The following is a 14,587-nucleotide window of genomic DNA, read 5'->3' as shown; positions in this document are numbered from 1 at the left end:
GTGGCTCATGCTTGTAATCTCAGCACTTTGGGAGGCCAAGGCGGGTGGATCACTTGAGGTCGGGAGCTCCAGACCAGCCATGGCCAACGTGGTGAAACCCCGTCTCTACTAAAAATACAAAAATTAGCTGGGCATGGTGGCAGGTACCTGTAATCCCAGCTACTTGGAAGGCTGAGGCAGGAGAATTGCTTGAAACCGGGAGGTGGAGGTTGCGGTGAGCCGAGATCAGGCCACTGCGCTCCATCCTGGGCCACACAGCGAGACACCATCTTAAAAAGAAAGAAAGAAAGAAAGAAACCTGAGTACTTCAGGCTGGTTGCGCCAGAGTCTGAAGTACTGTCTGGGGAGGGGGTCCATTTGTGTGTCTGCTTTTCACGGTATCAAACAGGTCTGAGCTGATGATGTGACTTCTAACCTGAGAAGTAGATGCTCAGCTTGAACATTGACTAGGTTCAAGTTGAAAAACAGAACTGGTTTGCTTCCTGAAACAGTTGAAAAAGGGCAAAAAATTGAAATAAAGGGAACTCAGACAAATGGGGTTTTGGCAACTGTCTGATTAGGGTCAGGGGATATTAGTGTTTGTGTGAGGGAAAGGAAACTATAGGTATATGTATGTGTGTGTGTGTGTGAGAGAGAGAGAGAGAGAGAGAGAGAGAAAGTAAGAGGGAAAAGCACAGACAGAGACGGAGAGAGATTGATTACATCACAGGCTGATGTGATGAGATAGACACAGAGAGGTTTCCCTAGAATGTACAACCAGGGTGGGCTCTTTGCACTAAAAGGCCTTCTCCAACATTAACCTCCTGGGTTCTACCAATGGCAAAATGTTGAGTGCAGAGGCTCATAAACTTTCTCCATTCACTGCACCTTCATGGCACCCCTAGGCAAAAAGAAAAACCAAACAGAAACGTTTCATTTATTAAGTAGTTGGGTCCAAACAACTTAATAAGACTTTATGTCCTAACAACTTAGTAACTATCTTGGAAAATAATAATACATATAAATTGGGGTAAAAATTTTATTGTTTCATTTTTTTTTTTTTTAATTTTTGAGAGGGAGTCTCACTCTGTCGCCCATGCTGGAGTGCAGTGGTGCCATCTCAGCTCACTGCAACCTCTGCCTCCTGGGTTCAAGCGATTCTCCTGCCTCAGCCTCCCGAGTAGCTGAGATTACAGGCACCCACCACCACACCCAGCTAATTTTTATAATTTAGTACAGATGGGGTTTCACCATGTTGGTCAGGCTGGTCTCAAACTCCTGACCTCAAATGATCCACCCACCTCAGCCTCCCAAACTGCTGGGATTACACTCACCCGGCTTGTTGTTTCATTCTTAAATAACCATAGTGAGGCTAAGTGCAATGGCTCACCCCTGTAATCCCAGCACTTTGGGAGGCTGAGGCTGGAGGATCACTTGATCCCAGGAGTTCAAAACTAGCCTGGGCAACATAACCAGATCCTATCTCTACAAAAAAAAAAAAAAAAAAAAAAATAGCTGGGCATGGGGGCTTGTACCTATATAGTCCCAGCTTCCTGGAAGGCTAAAGTGGGAGGATGGCTTGAGCCTGAGAGGTCGAGGCTACAGTGAGCTATGGTCATTATACTCCAATGTGGGCAACAAAGCAAGACCCTGTCTCAAAAAATTTTTTTTAAAAAACCAACAACAATAGCTTCCTGATGGGCTGGGTGCACTTGTTGTACTCTGCACAGTTTTTCAAAACAAAATCATATTGAGCACTGCTCCATGTTGATTTTCATGCAGTTCCTGCTTTTTATCACAGCAACTCCTAAACACTCAGCTTTGTAAGGTACAATGTCATGAATCTAATGCTGGAACTGTGAATTACCTAGTAGAGCTAGCAGTTCATGCAGAGCCGGATGGGTGTTGAGTAGTGCCATTTCCCTGCAGTACCCGAGCCCATGTGGGCACTAGCCTTTGGGGACCAGAGCCCTGGCAGGACAACTCACTGTGTGACCTTGGGCAAGTTACTGTAGCTTCTTAGAGTTTCAGTCTTCCCATATATGAAAGGGGATAGTGATAGTACTGACCTCGTAGGGTTTGGGGAAGATTAAATGAAGTTCCTTAATGTAAAGCATTTCGCACAGTGGTCACTGAGTGGACACTGTGGGTCAGACTCTGTGGTCAACACTGTATATGGATTATGGACACAACTCTGCTTGCTGACAGTCCCAGTTATGATATTATTATTATTATTATTATTGGAGACAAGGTCCCACTCTGTCACCCAAGTTGGGTACAGTGGCATGGGCATAGCTCACTGCAGTCTTGAAGTCCTGGGCCCAAGTGATCCTCCTGCCTCAGCCTCATGAGTAGCTGGGACTACAGGTGCATACCACCATGCCCAGATAATTTTTTTTATTTTTTGTGAGGTGAGGTCTCGCTATGTTGCCCAGACAGGTATTGAACTCTTGATCTCAAGCAATCCTCCCACCTTGGCCTCCCAAAGTGCTGTGATTATAGGTATGAGCCACCATGGCCAGCACCAGTTTATGAAATTATTATTAGAACCTTTTTCATTCTCAAATTGCCCTGGTTTGGAGGATAAAGTATATGGCCATCCTTCCTTTGTGTTTGTTAACTCATTCAATTCCCCTACAAGTTGCAAACATTGGGATTTGAACCGAGACAGTCTGACTCCGGAGTCTTTGCTCTGAACCGCTAGAGCAGTGCATCTTAACTGGGGGAGGTTTTGCTGCAACCCCCACCCTCGGACATTTTGTCATGTCTGGAGCCATTTTTGGTTGTCACAACTGGGAGATTGCTACTGACATCCAGTGTGTAGAGGCCAGGGACGCTGCTGCTAACATCCTACAATGCACAGGACATTCCCCACAACAAAGAATTGTCCAGCCCAAAATGTTGATAGTACTGAGGCTGAGAAATCCTGTGCTCTTGAGACCTCACAAGACTTTACTTCTTATTTTTAACCCTGTCGTGGGGTCACATCTAGTGGCAAAAGCCAAAAATGTTACCATTTTTTCTCAGAGATGTTTCACTGCAACCTCTGTGACCCCTTTAACCAACCCACTGGGCTCCGCTTTGTGTTTGGGCCCCAGATGTGCACAGCCGTGAAATCCCTTTCATACACAGGGCTGGGTGTGGCATCCTCAGGGTAGACAGACTTCACGTATTCCCTGGAGACTGGACAGTAGATACCCATTGGCTGATCCATCACTGTGAAAGTCATATTTATTGCCCATGGTATTAGTTCTTTACCTCTTCCACTCTCAGATAAAGCCATAGAAACTGAGACAAGGATTTACCAAGCGTAAATCTGGACAGTCTCGTTTCTAAGCTAAAGAGAAAGCCAACATTGCAGGTGGCTTCTGTACCTCTTTACATTTCCAACCAAACAGGAGGGGAGAGGGGCACAGGGGACTTTCTCTGTGTATGCTTTTCTTTTCTTTTCTTTCTCTCCCTCCCTCCCTCCTTCTCTCTCTCTTTCTCTCTTTCTTTCTTTCTTTCTTTCTTTCTTTCTTTCTTTCTTTCTTTCTTTCTTTCTTTCTTTCTTTCTTTCTTTCTTTTCTTCTCTTTCTCTCTCTCTCTCTTTCTTTCTTTCACTTTTTTTTGAGACAGAGTCTCTCTCTGTTGCCCAGGCTGGAATGCAGTGGCGTGACCTTGGCTCACTGCAACCCCTGCCTCCCAGGTTGAAGTGGTCCTCTTGCCTCAGCCTCCTGCGTAGCTGGGTTCGAGACCCATCTTTTTAGTAGAGATGGGGTTTTGCCATGTTGACCAGGCTGGTCTCTAACTCCTGACCTCAAGTGATCCACTTGCCTTAGCCTCCCAAACTGCTAGGATTACAGGTGTGAGCCGGTTTTCTTATTTTTCCTCTGGAAAAATGTTATAAAGTTAGTATGAAAATGCTTACTGGTTCATTACTCGACCTCCAAATCTCCCTGTGAGAGTCTGTCCATCTGTCTGTGTATGTATGTATCTGTCTGTCTGTCTGTCTATACCTATCAGTTCTGAGACATATGCCTTTGCAGGTTCAGGGTATCTCTGTGCAAAATTAGGATATATTATAGAGCAGAATGCAAAGGTTGCTCACCCTCGTGCAAAGATTTCAAGTCTCTCTCCTGCCTCTGTTCCTCCCATCCTGTCAAGGTGAGACCCCTCCCAGATCCCCAGACCCAACTGCCCTGAGCATTCATAGCTGAGTAACCACCTCAGCCAGGCCAGAGTGGGGTGACGGGGAAGACCACCTTGCACCCTGATGGTGGTGCAAGGCTCCTTCTTCAAGGAGGCCCAAGAGTTCCCAGGGAGACAGGGCATAGGCATTCAGACCAAGGGAACAGCAATGCAAAGGTAGGAAGGCCCGAGAGAGCAACACATGCCTGGGAAGGGGCAAGTGCTCTGGCATGCCCAGCACTGTGATCTTCTCCACTGTCCATAGCACATCTATCCACCAAAAGATAGGAACCCAAGTAGAAGCTGGAAAATAAGAGCAAGACTCAAGTGAGCAGCTGCCTGTTTATAAGTTGTTCACACACTAGGGGCCCAGGGCAGGGATCATACTGTGTCTACTTTAAACAAGATACAGAGGCCGGGCCACAGCTAGCACACTCAAAGCTTTACATAAGTTAGAAAAAAAGGGACTTCCCTGAACAGATGAGTTGGAAGGCGCTCCTTCCCCAGGGTTGATGCAGCCAAGGCTCTGGGCATGGCTAACAGGGCCTGGCTGGGGCTGAGCCCCTGTGCACGCCCCTCAGGTGGGAGTCCTTGGCAGGCCGAAACCTGCAATGTGGTTAGAAGTGGCTGTGCCTCATGGTTTGTGGGCTTGAGGGCAGCAATGGCCCTTCTCACGGGCTCTTCCTGCCCACTTGATTGCGGTTTCTGCTCAAGCCCTCAAAGCCCACCTCATACCTTAAACTGCCTTTGTAAGATTATAACTGAGGAAATTATGACAGTGAAAGAAATCAGACCTAACTGACTCCATCTTGCTTCTAAACTTTAAGCAAGCTGTCCTTGTTCATTCCTGGGCGTAGGCCGAACTAACTATGGGAAGGAATTCAGTTCACGGTTTGACTCTGAAACAAAATTGATAGCAGCCCTTTTCCCGAAAAGACCCTCGTCTTGCCTGGGGACTAGTCTGCCTTTGCAGGACTAACAAGTTAGCTACAAGATTAGAAATTACAGTTCAGATGTCATGCTGGCTCCAAGAGTCTGAACCTCCCCAAATTGCTCCTGGGGTAACATCACTGTTGCAAAACCTAAGATCAGGGCTTGAGATATTTTGCAGACCCTGCACTCGATGGATCAGCCACCACCACCCAGACCGGTAATCTGGTTCAACCAGTTCTGCCATCACACCCAGGAATAGAAAACAGCAAGAAAAACTCACTTCGACCCTCTGTGATTCTATCTCCAACCTGACCAATCAGCCCTCCCCATTTCCCAAGCCCCTACCCACCAAATTATCTTTAAAAGTTATAATCCACAAATGCTCGCAGAGACTGATTTGAGTAATAAAAAAACTGCAGTCTCCTGCACAGCCGGCTCTGAATAAATTACTCTTTCTCTGTTGCAATTCCCCTGTCTTGATAAATCAGCTCTATCTGGGCAGCGGGCAAGGTGAACCCACTGGACAGTTACATACCCTATCACAGCGGGGGCATTGACGGGGCAGGGCCCATCTGTGAGTTCCACTGAGCCGACTTTGTCTGCCTGGGAGTTTCCTCAAGCTCATTTCTGCGACAATCTTGCCTGAGGAGATGAAGAAAGGAGAGCAAGGGCCAGCCTTTTAGCAACTGTGAGGGCGGGGATGTCCGCACACTGGACGGCCAGGCCTGACCACTGTCGCTGGAGTCCTGGGGTGACTAAACTCTGTTCCTCCCAGACAGACAGAAGAGGTGAAGCCATGCCTCAAGAAGCCCCAGTGCCTTGAGGAGGCCTTAGGAGTCAATAGACCAGAAAAGATCAGCCCCCCACTGCTGAGGTAACTGGGGAAGGAGGAACACTGAGGAGTAGGGGGACTGGCAAGGGGGGGTAGAAAGAACAATAACAATAATAATAGGAGTGGCTGGGAGCGGTGGCTCACACCTGTAATCCTGGCACTTTGGGAGGCTGAGGTGGGCAGATCACGAAGTCAGGAGTTCGAGACCAGCCTGGCCAACATAGTGAAACCCCATCTCTACTAAAAGTATAAAAATTACCTGGGTGTGGTGGCACAAGCCTGTAGTCCCAGCTACTTGGGACACTAAGGCAGGAGAATCGCTTGAACCTGGGAGGCAGAGGTTGCAGTGAGCTGAGATCGCGCCACTGCACTCCAGCCTGGGTAACAGAGCAAGACTCCATCTCAAAAAAAAAAAAAAAAAAAAAAAAAAATTAGTAGTAGTGGCCAGGCACTGTGGCTCACGCCTGTAATCCCAGCACTTTGGGAGGCCAAGGTAGGTGGATCACGAGGCCAAGAGATCAAGACCATCCTAGCCAACATGATGAAACCCCATCTCTACTTAAAATATAAAAATTAGCTGGGCATGGTGGCGCACGCCTGTAGTCCCAGCTACTGGGGAGGCTGAGGCAGGAGAATCACTTGAATCCAGGAGGCAGAGGTTGCAGTGAGCCAAGATCGTGCCACTGCACTCCAGCCCGGGCGACAGAGCAAGACTTTGTTGCAAATAAATAAATAAATAAATATTAGTAAGACAAGTGAGTTCTGTTTGGGGGCTAAAGCTCAGGGGCTCGAGCAGTGGTCCCTGCAACTCAGCGCTCTCAGCCCTGCCTGTTTTATCACCTGGGCTCTGCAGCCTTCCTGTCCACAGTGGTAGCTACCAGGATCTTTCCCAGTGCATTTCTTTCCAGCTTAAATTGGCCAGAATTTATTAACTCCTGTTGCTTGCCACCAAGGAGTCTAATCAATAGAAGATCCAACATCTGACGCCTCCCCTCCCCCCCATGTTTTAAAGACAGTCTTTATTTTAATGAGGCCAGATTGCCCAATACGGGAGCTCAAACTGGATAAGTGGGATCTTGGTAATCACCTTTTTCCCATTCTTCCAAGGAAAGATGTAATTAAAGCCCCTAAATACAAAATGTTCAACTCAGAGAGAAGAGCAATTTTGATATGGTCCATTTCTACTTAAGCGGTAGTGTTTCTCTGTGGCCCTCTCTCGGCCAGGAGCCACAGTGGCCAGCCGAGGATGGCAGGCAGTCCATTGAGCACACACTGATGGAGCACGTACTGCATGGCCAGCACCATGCCCAGTCCTAGAAATGGCCAGACAGCAGGTAAGGATGTGAGCACAAGCCCAGAAGAGCTTTCTACAGTACAAGATGTAGCTTTACTGAAATTCCGCACATCCCAAGGAGACCATTGGCCAAGATATTGCAGTGTTGCGCGATTCCTCTTGCATCACTTTCTTTTTTTCTTTTCTCTTTTTTTTCTTTTTTTTTGGCTTCTTTATTAGTTCTATGTTTCTATTATGAAATGCAAGAAAAATATAAATTTGTCCTTCATTCTTCTACACAGCGATAATCCTGTGAGATTGTGCTGTGTAACTTTCCAGTGTGTTTTCTGTACATCCGGGGCTGTCTGTATGCCTACAGGTATTTTATAAAATGGGAATTGTGTTGCACACACTATTTTGTAATATGCATTTAAAAATTGTTTTCAGGACCTGGCGCAGTGGCTCACACCTGTAATCCCAGCACTTTGGGAGACTGAGGCGGGTGGATCACCTGAGGTCAGGAATTCAAGAACAGTGTGACCACCATGGCGAAACCCCGTCTCTACTATAAATACAAAAATTAGCTGGGCATAGTGGCGCGTGCCTTTAGTCCCAGCTACTCAGGAGACTGAGGCAGGAGAATCGCTTGAACCCGGGAGGTGAAGGTTGCAGTGAGCTGAGATCACACCACTGCACTCCAGCCTGGGTGACAGAGTGAGACTCTGTCTCAAAGAAAAAAAAATTTTTGTTCAGTCACATTATTCTTCTATTCTATCCCTCAGTTTCCTCAATGCACACAACTGTCCCGTGCCATATTTAGCCCCCAGCTTGGCTGCAAGGTGAAAGGACAGAGCTATGCACCACACCCACCCTCCAGCAATGGCTCTCAGAGGCCAGCCTCTGCTTTAGTCTCCGCTGGTTTAAAGTGAAATGGGAAAAGTGTCAACTGTGTAGTTTTCCCCAAGGCTAACCACATCCATTTTTACTTGCAAGATTATGTCCTGCTTATTTTGCTGTTGTTAAACTTCTCTTTCTTTTAGGACAGAGTATGTGTGGCAGTCATTAAAAACAAACAAACAAAACAAAACAAAAAATCCTATGTTAAAAACTTGACTACTGCTTCAATCTCCAGAGAAACTCAGTCAAGACTCACCAGCCCGTCACATGGCGATAATAAGGACACATATTCATACAAGCAAAGACCTCCAAATTTCCAGACCCTTTTATATCCATGCTTTTATCTCATCTCGAGGACAGCTCTCCAGGGCAGGTGGTATGCTCTCCCGTTTCACAGAGGAGGCAGCAGGTGGCCCCCGTGCAGCAAAGGGAGATGGTCCCGCTTACATGGCTCGTTAGCCCCAGTGGAGCAGACTCAGGTTCTCGATTCTCAACTCAGTGACCTTGGAGGGGCTCTTCCCTGAGCTGCAGCTTTGCAACCATGCATCACTGAAGAATGGAACCTGATGGAACATTCTGGAATTCCACTCCGAAAGTCCCAAAGCTACAACACACTTCAGTGGCCAGAACCTGGCCTCTGCCACTCCTGCTCACCCATTGGCCCTTGCTTGGGGCTGCATGCTTCAGCACTCTGGCGCTGCCTGTGGGGTGCAGCTGAAGGGGAAGAGCAAGCCTCACAATTGAACACTTGCAGGAAATGTCTGATACTTGGGTGTGGCCTCCTGGGTTTGATTCCTGTCCTGTAGCTCACTGGCTGTGCACTCTTGGGCAAGTGACATCACTTCTCTAGATCTCTGTTTCTTCATTTGTAAAACGAAAATAACAATGCATCCTTCAAGGCTGGGCACGGTGGCTCACGCCTGTAATCCCAGCACTTTGGGAGGCTGAGGCAGGTGGATCACTCAAGGTCAGGAGTTCGAGACCAGCCTGGTCACCATGGCAAAAATTAGCTGGGCGTGGTGGTGGGCACCTGTAATCCCAGCTACTCGGGAGTATGAGGCAGGGAGAATAGCTTGAACCCAGGAGGCGGAGGTTGCAGTGAGCCGAGATGACACCACTGCACTCCAGCCTGGGCGACAGAGCGAGACTCTGTCTCAAAAAAAAAAAAAAGAAACAAAGAAAGAAAGAAAATATTAAACACTGAAACACTAAACCACTTCTACAATAGATATAAGGTCAACAGTAAGGGGGAGGTAAATCAGTTATATGTCTTCAGTAGAATACTACACAGTCATTAAAATGCTTGTGAATTGAATGATATGGGTGGCAGGTACCTGTAATCCCAGCTACTCAGGAGGCTGAGGCAGGAGAATCGCTTGAACCCAGGAGGTGGAGGTTGCAGTGAGCTGAGATTGTGCTACTGCACTTCAGCCTGGGTGACAGAGCAAGACTCCGTCTCAAAAAAATAAAAATAAATAAATAAATAAAATACTTCCTTCATTGGCTTGTGTAAGATAATATACTAAATGTCACACCTTTAGTGTAGTAAGGGCTTAAGAAGTGTAAGTTTGTGACTTTTTTTAGCATCTGACACATAGGAGGGGCTTAAAATATTTTCAATAGTTGAATAATTAAATAGATGAATGAACGAAAATGGAAATTTGAGGTTTAGTGAGCCTCTTGATGTCTCTGCTATCTAAGTCGTGGTCCTCAGGAGCCTGCTGTAAAGATGGATAAGGATAGGGGTGGGGGTGGGAGGGGCCATCACCACCCTGGTACTCCCCCACTCCACCCCCACTGCCCCCAAAGAAACAGGCAGTGGAAATTAAAAAGCAGGGCTAAAGGGGATGTAACACAGACGTAAATTTTGAGAAGAGAGGGATCATTTATTGTAAGATGTGTTCTCAGCGTGGGGTCCTTCCTTTCCTGGGAAATATGACCTCCAGGTGATCTGGATTCCAAAAGGAGAGAAAAGACATGGCTAGGGAAGGGGTGTCCAGTGAGGGCCCTAACATGCAGCCCTTCGGAGGGGCGAAGACAATGACTCAGCCTGGCCAACGCCCTGAACTCTGACTGTCTGTTTCCTCTATGCTGATTGAGTTCAGCAGCCGGCAACCGATGAGACTCCTAGGAAGGGCTCCAGAATCACTGATAGCTGACGGAGGCTTGGCAGCGTGGGGGCCCTCCGAGCCTGGGAAGGTGGGCTTATGTAAATACTGTAATGCAGAGGGTGCTGGAGCCGCATCAAGAGCCAGCTCAGCTGCTGTGCGCTACTGACACAGCCATTCCTGTCTTGGGCCTCAACAACTTCCTCACAAATGAAAATGTTGAACAAAATGAGCTCTCCAAGCCCTGCCAGCCAGGTCTGATGGAAGAGTGTAGGGAGTTAGGCCTTGAAAAGCTGCTCCGCACTGCCCCCTGGTGTCATTGGCTACAGTGACCATTGTCCTCAAACCTCTGGTGTCCATCCACCCACCCCCTCATCCACCTATACGCCCATCCATCCGTCCATCCATCCATGAGCCTGGTACATCTCTGAAGAGTGTGTCAGCTTTTCATTTCGGGGGTAAGGGGAGAAAGGGACCTGGGCCCACATATGGGGGCAATGCTGACCTGAACAAGCAGAGCCACAAGGAGAAGGGGTGACCAGACGGTACCTGGAGCTTGGAACAGTTGTCTGGACTCAGAGGTATTGAGTGACACCCAAATGAGGGAACTGGGCTCCCTGCTCCTGGTGGCAGCTTGAATGATGGTTCTTTGGATTTTTAAGGATGAAACCATCCTGGAAAGTGGACCTTGAGATATAGATCATTTGTCTATTTCATACATACACACACACACACACACCCAATATAGCAATGCTATTGTGGGGATATATATCAGACTTGATGGTTGTCCTTTTGAACTCTATCAGGTGACTTGCAAATTTCCCACAGTATGAGTCCTGCCTCCCCAAGGGAAAGGTCAACACTGGCTTTCCCATCTCCCTTGCACCAAGGCATGTACCCTAAGCTTAGACCACCAGACATACCGTGAGAGACTTGCCTTTGCAGGAGAGGACAAGCTAGGGTTTCACAGAATCCATTTATGGGCAAGAGTTTAGGGCACAATCAAGAGGCTTCTAGGATCTCACATCCAGAACCAGTGGTGCAAGCCAGGCATGGTGTCTGTGCTGTAGTGTGGTGACACTGAGTGTTCCACTGGAGCAGCCTTCATCATGTGACATCGTTCCAGGCTGGGAAGTCTTCACGGTCAATTCTCTGGCCCTCCCATCGGAGAGCCTGTGAATTACATTATACCTTTTTCTGTTTAATCCAGCCAGAATGGGTGTGTGTGTGTGTGTGTGTGTGTGTGTGTGTGTAACTGTTGCTCCTCCTGTGCTAATGTTTTGTTCAGCCTTAGAGGCCTCTGGCCTGGCTTCATTAGACTCCTGACTCCCCAGACAAATAACCAGACTTAGCTGAGCAGCTTCCGAATGGCAAGCCCCATGTCCTCTCTTTCTACAACCCATGCAGGAAGGACGCTCTAAGGCCTGGATAACTTTCTCCCAGTTTACTTTTCCTCTCCCCAAACTGCATTGCAAAACCAGCCATTTCTGTCCAGCCAACCACTTCATCTCCCCTTTCTCCTCCTCTCTCGCAATTCCTGTGAAACACACACATACACACACACACACACACACACACACAAGCAAGAGAGTGAGAGAAAGAGAGAAAGACAGAGGCGTGAGGTGAGGTCAGTGACTCCTAGGCCATAAATTCTGGAATAATGACTCCCTGGTGAACTGACTGACACAGTGCTTTCTCTTTTCTCATAATTTGCATTATAGGAATCTATTCCTCATATTTTGATGCATGGAGAAATCTCTTTCTTTTTTGCGGGGGAGGGGAAATAAAACTTTCTTTTTTCTTTTTTTCTTTTTCTTTTTTTTTTTTTGAGACAGTCTCGCTCTGTGGCCCAGGCTGGAATGCAATGGTGCAATCTTGGCTCACTTCAACCTCCGCCTCTCAGGTTCAAGTGATTCTCCTGCCTCAGCCTCCTGAGTAGCTGGGATTATAGGCGCGTGCCACCATGCCTGGCTAATTTTTTGTATTTTTAGTAGAGACGGGGTTTCACCACGTTGACCAGGCTGGTCTTGAACTCCTGACCTCAGATGATCCACCTGCCTCAGCCTCCCAAATTGCTGAGATTACAGGTGTGAGCCACCGCCCCCAGCAGGGAGATAAAATTCTCTGAATTCAGCTTTTTCCAACTCCTTAATAGGTAACATTTACTGACCTCTCACTATGTAACAAGCACCTTACTTGTGGTGACTCAGCTAAGTCTCACAACAATCCTGTGCAGAAGAAGAACATTGTTATTATTATCATCCCCATTTTACAGGTGAGAAGACTGAGGCAGAAGAATATAATGATCGGGAGACGTTGGGTTACAACTAACAGGAATCCAACTCAAATAAAACAAACAGAAATGGAGGAGAAGAAAGGAGAGAAGGAGGATAAAAGGGAGGAGGAGGAAAAGAAAAAGAAAGAAAAAAAGAAATGCACTGGCCTGGATAAGCAAAAAATCCAGGCAGTGACTTTAGCTTTAGGCACATCTGGATCCAGGGATGCAAACAACAACAACTTATTTGGGCACCTGTCCTCACCTCTGACTCTTTTCTCTGAATTGGGTTTGTTTCAGGAAGCCCATCCATCCCCTAGTGGAGGCAAAGAGGCCATAGCAGCTCTTGCCCACTTCCTACCAGCTCAGCAGACTCTTCCAGCACTATCCTCACACTTCCCAAGGGTGGCTCTTGTAGGCAGGGTGGGGTCTCATGCCCATCAGGAATCTGGACCGACAGAGGAAGGGCAGGTTCATAAGAAAAGTCAGGGTGCTGAGACCAAAAGATGGGACAAGGGATTCTGGGTGGGCTAAAACAGGGGGTCCCCAACAGATTAAGTTGCATAGAAAGTAAGCTGTCCAAATTCAAAGCCAGGTGTGATTTCATCTGAGGTCCATGAATGGCCCAGGAGATCTGGATCTCGTCCTGGTTTTGTCACTAATTGGCTGGTTAGAGGCTCACTTGTCCCATTTGCAAAATAGAAATAATAATACCTGTCCAGTCTCCGTCACTGAGTTATTACAGAAATCAAATTAGACCTTGAATTCGAAAGCACTTTGAAAAGTCAGATACACAGTACTATATTATTCATTTGTATATTTTCCATTGGTTGGTTGAAATCAGCTTAAAATTCTCTATATTTTCCCATAGAAAATATAATTCCCATTCTTATTTTCTTTTTCAAAAACTCATTATGAAAGCAACACATCCTATAAGCAATTTGAAAATATAGAGAAGAAAAAGAAAGAAAAGTGAAATAAAAGAAAAAGAAAAGGCTGGGCGCAGTGGCTCACGCCTGCAATCCCAGCACTTTGGGAGGCTGAGGTGGGTGGATCATGAGGTCAGGAGTTCGAGACCAGCCTGGCCAACACAGTGAAACCTCGTCTCTACTAAAAATACAAAAAATTAGCCAGGCATGGTGGCGGGCGCCTGTAATCCCAGCTTCTTGGGAGGCTGAGGCAGGAGAATCGCTTGAACCCGGGAGGCAGAGGTTGCAGTGAGCAGAGATCGTGCCATTGCACTCCAGCCCAGGCGACAGTGCAAGACTCTGTCTCAGAAAAGAAAAAGAAAAAGAAAAAATCACCCATAGTCTCACCATCCTTAAATAACTATTATTAGCATTTTGGTATTCTTTCTTTCTTATCTCTTCTGTGTATATGCCCACATGTATATTTTTGAAAAAAAAAATATGATAATATTACAATGCTCTTTCAAAATCTGCTTTTTCCCCATCAATAATATTGCAGTCTTTCATGTGGCACTAAATAGTTTTCTACTACTTCAATTTAATGGCAGAATAGTTTCCCATTGTTTAACAAAATACTTCTTGTTAGCTATTTAACTATTTGTAATTTTTCCCTGTTAGCAAAAATCTACCCAATCTAGAAAATTTTCTAGATATGAAATTTTGGATTGGGTTCATGTGCATATGTGTGTGCATGCATGAGTGTGTGTGTGTGCTTAACTTTTGCTCCTCCTGTGCTAATGTTTTGTTCAGCCTCAGAGGCCCCTGGCCTGGCCTCATCAGATTCCTGACTCCCTAGACAAATAACCAGCCTTAGTTGAGCAGCTTCTGAGTGCAAGCCCCATGTCCTGTCTTTCTACAACCCATGCAGGAAGGAGGCTCTAAGGCCTGGCTAACTTTCTCCTAGCTTACAAATTTTGCAAAACTAAGGCTTTAATATCTATTGCACTTCTGGAAAGTTTGCACCAAATCACACTCTCATGAGCAGTGGCCACGTATCCATTCCCCATCACCAATTATAGTAGGTATGACCATGTTGTAAAACTCTAACAATTGTGATAACCTTTTTCTTTTCAAATTTAGATCTGTGGCTGCTTCCCCTTGATTACTTTTTGCAGGTGGAGACTCTTGTCTCCTTCCTGGTTTGTTCAAGGT

The 14,587-nt window shown here is 46.6% G+C and overlaps 1 long non-coding RNA gene across 1 annotated transcript, besides 1 other annotated feature; it reads right to left on the bottom strand.

Moving 5' to 3' along the window:
* Window positions 4,366–8,990, bottom strand: LOC105378436 (uncharacterized). Its single transcript, XR_946212.2, has 3 exons — window positions 8,341–8,990; window positions 5,618–5,724; window positions 4,366–4,452 (listed from the first exon to the last, which is right to left on the bottom strand). It is a non-coding gene; the product is annotated as an uncharacterized LOC105378436 (long non-coding RNA).
* Window positions 8,758–9,258: an enhancer, noted in NCBI's record as "H3K4me1 hESC enhancer chr10:95315968-95316468 (GRCh37/hg19 assembly coordinates)". NCBI's record gives its function as "activates a minimal SCP1, AML or CMV promoter by ChIP-STARR-seq in naive H9 embryonic stem cells {active_cell/tissue: H9 hESC(naive)}" and the evidence as "EXISTENCE:reporter gene assay evidence [ECO:0000049][PMID:30033119]".

This window comes from Homo sapiens, chromosome 10 (genome assembly GCF_000001405.40).
Source record: "Homo sapiens chromosome 10, GRCh38.p14 Primary Assembly".
In the NCBI taxonomy this organism is placed as follows: Eukaryota; Metazoa; Chordata; class Mammalia; order Primates; family Hominidae; genus Homo; species Homo sapiens.
This window is presented reverse-complemented; position numbering and strand designations above follow the sequence as displayed.